The sequence below is a fragment of the Homo sapiens genome, chromosome 17 (genome assembly GCF_000001405.40).
Source record: "Homo sapiens chromosome 17, GRCh38.p14 Primary Assembly".
NCBI classification, from domain to species: Eukaryota; Metazoa; Chordata; class Mammalia; order Primates; family Hominidae; genus Homo; species Homo sapiens.
In genome coordinates this window covers 73,853,081-73,858,974 of record NC_000017.11, presented here as the reverse complement: position 1 = coordinate 73,858,974, position 5,894 = coordinate 73,853,081, and the positions used below count along the sequence as shown (strand labels likewise).

Genomic DNA, 5,894 nt, shown 5'->3' with positions numbered 1-5,894 from the left:
GAAGTAGGGGAACTTCTCAAGTGGGGAGTCAACATTCTCGAATATCCAGAGTGAAGGCCGGGATGTGGCTAGACACAGGTGTCATCCGGCCCTGGAGGTCAGCAAGTGAAACATCTGGTAAGCTGGACCAAACTGGCCCAGACGAACTCTGCACCTGCCCCCAGTTCCCTGGGTTCCTTAGAGCCTCTACATGCTCATCCCCCTCCATTCACCCCAACACCCCCCACCCTCCGGGAACGTAGCACTTGTCCTGGAGAATTGTCACTGTAATGCACCCTGAGTCCCCAGGGTCTTTATATGAAAGTGCGGATGCCAATTTCATATTCTAGGGTGGAGCTGGGATTCTGTGACTCTAACAAGCTTCCAGGTAATGCTGGTGGTGGGGCGTGTGGACCGCTCAGGGGGGCGACCAGGGGGACAGTGGGGCCCCTGCTACTAAAAGGATGGCCTTTGGAGTCAGTCGAGGGTGGGAATCCTGGGTGTCCTGCTTATTTACCAGCTCTGTGACCTTGCAGAAGTTACTTAACCTCTCTAAAACTCGGTTTCTCCATTAGTCAAATGGGAATTAAACATCGTCATGCGATGGCCGAGAAGATTTGGTGATGTGAGTTCAATACGTTGAGCTCTGGGCTCTGCTAAAAAGTAATAAATAAGGGGGCTTGCATTATTACTAATAATACATCACAGCCAGGCCAAAGCTTAACTCGGAAGATCAGGGCAAGAGGGGAAACGCCTGTTCTCCAGGCTGCTGCCTCCACAGGTCACCCCAAGCTCTGAGTGGTGACTCCAAAGGCAGGGAGCCTGCTCTCAGGGTAGCTCCACTATGAGGCCTCCTCATAGTGTGCCCAGGAGGGACAGAGCCTGGCATCAGGGCGGGAGATGACACAAACACAGCCTCACACCTCTCAGACCTGTCACCTAAAGAAGCCTGGTCCGGATTGAAGCCACTGGGCAGCGAGGGGGCCCTGAGGGAGGAGGGAGGGCTAGGCCAGGTGCCTGGGATGCCCCAGCCACCCTCCCCACACCCCTGCTTATACAGTGAATTTCCTGGGATTAAATAAGAGATGGGACCTGCAGGGGTGGGAGGGGAGGAGTACTTCATGCATTTGTTTGTTTACTACCTACCCACTAAATTCCACACCCGGTGTAGCCTGTCTTCACAGGAACCTGAAGGGTGAATGGCACTATTGCTGTGAGCACGTGAGACCCCAGCAGGAAATCTCCTGCCCCAGCCAACCCTCAACTCTATCAGGACCCCTCTGAGGCCACATCATTTGGGGGGGGGTGGGGTATGTATGGAGAACCTGCGTAGGTCGTGAATGTGCTAGTTTGAGGATCGAATATAGATGGGGAAAAAGCCAGATGACTCCACCCAGGAACAGGTTAGCCTGGTCTCAGTAAAGCCCCTGCCACTATCTGGCTTTCTTTCCATAGAGCGGGGTTTCTCAAGCTGGGCTTTGCTGACATTTGGGGAGGGATAAATCATGTTGTGGGGCTGTCCCATGCACTACAGGTTGTTTACCAACATCCCAGGCTCTGCTCACTAAATACCAGCAGCATCTCCCAACCCCAGTCGTGACCATCAGGAAAGATCTCCAGATATTGCTAAACATCCCCTAGGCGTCAAGTCGCCCCCAGGGAGAACCACTGCTATAGAATCCCGATACTTCCACTCCTTGGACTCAGACACCTGTGGAGGCGATGAGGGCTGAAGACCTGTGAACTTGGCAGTGGGCAAGGGGTTCAAGAGGCGGATGATCTCCATTTCCTCCCTGCAAGCTTCCAGGAGTCTGTGGCTGCCAGCATCTCGGAAGCCTTCTGGGTGGACTATTTAGTGCTTGGCCATCAGCTCCCTGGCTTCCTGGCCTCCTCCCGCTTTGGTCGGAGAAAGGAGCAAATAGAGGAAGCTTTGGTGGGAGGAGGGCTCCGCAGGCAGCAACCCCCACCCCACTCCCACCCCTGCATCTTCAAGGGCCCGGAGGTTCCTGGGAAAAACACCTTTGGAAAGGGCAGGGCTGGAGTTGGCACTGGGAGTTCTTGTTGGAGAAGTCAAGGGATGCGGAGGCTGAGTGGGGGAAGAGAATGTTATCACAGAAACCTGATTTTTCTACACACTCTATCAGCTCCCCATCTGTTCCTTGATTAAATGTATCGCTGCCCTCCCTCCCCACATGCCCGCTGCCAGGACGTCTCCGGAGCCCTGATTACATCTGTGGAGAGAGCCTCAAGCCTCACAGATGAGCAGGCTTATCGATCAGCCTGGCAGCTGACGTTTGTTTCAAAATGTAGAGGAGGGTGAGCAACAGAGCTGGCCGGGTAGGGTTGTCAGAGGTAGGGTCGTCAGGGGAACCTCATGCCCCAAAGGGAACATCCTCCATTCCCCTTCCGGCCTCTACAAGCCAGGGCGGCCACTTAGATTAGCATCAAATATTGATTTCCGGCTCTGTGACCTTGGGGGAGCCACCTCCCTCCTCTTGGCCTCAGTTTCCTTCTCTTTAGCATGAGGGTGTTGCAGCAGGTGATTTTAGAATTGTCTCCAGAGTCAGTGCCTTGTGACTCTGAGGATAGGCCATGGGCCAGCAGCCCGGTCATGCCCGGGGGGGACCTGTTAGAAATGCAGGCTCTCAGGCCCTGCCTAGTTCCGCTGAATCAGAAGAATCAGAATCTGCCTTTTAACAAGATCCCCTGGTGCTTCATACGCACATTACAGTGTAAGAAGCGTGTCTATGCTTCTGTTCATTTGGCTACTTCAGAGATGAACATGTATAAGAAATCTCTCAAAGGGAATGACTCACCATCTTCTCTGGCCTCAGAAAACTTCTACGGAGATTAACTTCCTGCCTGAGAACCTTAGCTCTGCGAAGGAGCCAGCTCCAATATCCCAGCCGCCTCTTGCGGTTTGAACCTCGAGATGAAAATCTTCATTCGATGAACCACTTAACAAGCCTGGGGATAAAGTGAGAAGCAGGACCCACTCCCTGTCCTCAGGGGACTGCCTCTCTCGCAGAAACAGGAAGACTCTCTCCCACGAGGCTGAAAAGATGCCAGAGAGAGAGGCTGGTCCCACGGGACTATCGCCAAGCATCTTGTCCTCTTGGCATGGGAATCTGATCACATTTCCAAGAGCAGCACCAGCCTTTTGTGGCTCTCTATATTAGTTTCCGGGGGCTGCTGTAACAAATTACCAGAAACTGGGAGGCTCCAAACCACAGAAATTCATTTTCTCACAGTTCTGGAGGCCAGAAGTCGAAATCCAAGTGTTGGCAGGACCACGTGCCTTCCAGAGGCTCTAGGGAAGACTCTTCCTCTGCCCCTTCCAGCTTATGGGGCCTACCAGTAACCCTTGGCTTGTGGCAGCACCACTCCCATATCTGCCCCTGCAGTCACAGTGCCTCCTTCTCTTCTCTGGGTGTTGAACGCCTTCTGCCTTCTTATAAAGACACTCGTGCTGGCATTCAGGGTCCGCTCAGATAATCCGGGATAATCCCATCTCAAGATCCTTCCTTATGTCTACAAAGACCCTTTTTCCAAACGAAGTCACTTTCACAAGTCCCAGGGATTTGACGTGGCTATCTTTTGCAGAGGGAGCTATTTTTCAGCCTACCACACTCTCCGACCAAGACGTGGCCTCACTGTGGGATCCTGGGTGGGTTACTTAACCTGGCTGAACCTCAGTGTCCTCCCCTGTACATTGGGGCAATTCCCCTAGGGTAGTTTTATGCTTGAATGAGTATCAGTATCACCTTGTTGAATGCAGCTGGCTGGGCCCACCCCCTGGTCTCTAATTTAGTGGCTCTGGGGAGAGCCTTAAGACTGTGCATTTCTAGGCTGGTTGGGGCGACTCACGCCTATAGTCTCAGCACTTTGAGAGGCCAAGGAGGGCGGATCACCTGAGGTGAGACCAGCCTGAACAACATGGAGAAACCCCGTCTCTACTAAAAATACAAAATTAGCCAGGCATGGTGGTGCATGCCTGTAACCCCAGCAACTCGGGAGGCTAAGGCAGGAGAATCGCTGGAACATGGGAGGCAGAGGTTGCGGTGACCCAAGATCGTGCCACTGCACTCCAGCCTAGGCAACAAGAGCGAAACTCCGTCTCAAAAAAAAAAACCAACTGTGCATTTCTAACAACTTCCCAGGTGACACTGAGAGCCACTGGATTAAATAAAGTGATGGGTCTAAAATGCCTTAAAAAGTCCCCACCCAAAATAAGTACTGAGTAAATAAATATTTATTTTTTCTAGAGACAGGGTCTTGTTCTGCTGCCCAGGCCGGAGTGCAGTGGTGCAATCATAGCTCACTTGCAGCATCAAATTCCTGGGCTCAAGTGATCCTCCTGTCTCAGCCTCCCAAGCAGCTAGGATTACAGGCAGGCACCACCATGCCTGGTCTCACTATGTTGCCCAAGTTGGTCTCAAACTCCTGGCCTCCAATGATCCTCCTGTCTTGGCTTCTCAAAGTGTTGGGATCACAGGCATGAGACGCTGTACCTGGCTAGTACTGAATAGGTAAATGTTGGTCAACAGCTGACAAAAATGTCACTCACCATGGCCACTTGGTTAATTGGAAGGCAACACAGCAAAAGGGCCAGTGTCCCATTAGAAGGTGAGCTCCCTGAGGGCAGGGCTGTGTCTATTCAGCTTCTCAGTCCCAAGTGTGCTGCTTGGGGTTCAACATGGTTATTGGCCTTGAGCTAGGCACTGCGCTGGGGCTGGGCCTTGCCTCTATTTGCCGTCAGATATGTCAAGGGTTTTCCATGTGTTAGTTTTCATGCTGTTGATAAAGACTTACCTGAGACTGGGTCATTTATAAAGAAAGAGAGGTTTAATGGACTCACAGTTCCATGTGGCTGGGAAGGCCTCACAATCATGGCAGAAGGTGAAAGGCATGTCTCACATGGCGGCAGGCAAGAGAGAATGAGAGCCAAGAAAAAGGGGAAAACCGTTATAAAACAATCAGATCTTGTGAGACTTATTTACTACCATGAGAACAGTATAGGGGAAACCGCCCCCATGATTCAGTGATCTCCACTGGGTCCCTCCCACAACACATGGGAATTATGGGAGTTGCAATTCAAGATGAGATTTGGGTGGGGACACAGCCAAACCATATCACCACGTAAGTTAACAGTGACCACATATGTGAGGACCAAAGGTATCAGAAGGTACAGAAATCATACCCAGGAGATGGGGATGATCCCTCCTGAAGGAGGCCCTGTGGAAGTGGGGATGCCTGGCAGGGTGCTGGGAGGAAAGTCAACTTGCCAGCAGTTCCAGGGAGCGGGAACAGCATGCGCTGGCCTGCGAAACATCAGTGTGGCAAAGTTATGGCATCGAAGTGCTGGGCAGTTGGGGAGATGGGCCAGAGACCTCAGCAGCAGCCAGGAAGAGACCAGCTTTTCGTGCCTTACTTCAGAGTGACTACCTGTAGCTTGTAGGTAATGGGAAGGACATTACAGGGTTTCTTTGGGAGAGTGACTTATTTAGCTTCATGTTGGGGGAAGATTGCCCTTGTGGCCCCACAGGGGGCAGGCTGGATGAGGAAGAGACTGGACACAGGAAGATCATTTAGGCAACTGGTAAAGTGATTCAGGCAACAGATGATGAGGGGCTAGACTGAAATGCACGCTTGGCACTCATCTGGCTTGATGGATGAAGGTGTGAGCGAACAAATGAGCAAATCATCAGTTAAGCCAGTTTCATCCCGTCTCAGAAGAGATGGACTCAGAGAGCAGTGGCAGCAATGCCCTGGTGTCCTTGGGCAGTTTGGAGTAGGGACACTGCTCTACCCTCCTCTGCATTCCCTCCATCCTTGAGGGGAAATGGCGCCTCCTTTGTAATTACCCAGTGCAGGTTTTGCTAAGCATCTCCCAAATGTTAAACTGGCTAATTTCT

General features: G+C 52.0%; 2 annotated features.

Moving 5' to 3' along the window:
* Window positions 328-941: an enhancer, noted in NCBI's record as "H3K4me1 hESC enhancer chr17:71854173-71854786 (GRCh37/hg19 assembly coordinates)". NCBI's record gives its function as "activates a minimal SCP1, AML or CMV promoter by ChIP-STARR-seq in primed H9 embryonic stem cells {active_cell/tissue: H9 hESC(primed)}" and the evidence as "EXISTENCE:reporter gene assay evidence [ECO:0000049][PMID:30033119]".
* Window positions 942-1,556: an enhancer, noted in NCBI's record as "H3K4me1 hESC enhancer chr17:71853558-71854172 (GRCh37/hg19 assembly coordinates)". NCBI's record gives its function as "activates a minimal SCP1, AML or CMV promoter by ChIP-STARR-seq in primed H9 embryonic stem cells {active_cell/tissue: H9 hESC(primed)}" and the evidence as "EXISTENCE:reporter gene assay evidence [ECO:0000049][PMID:30033119]".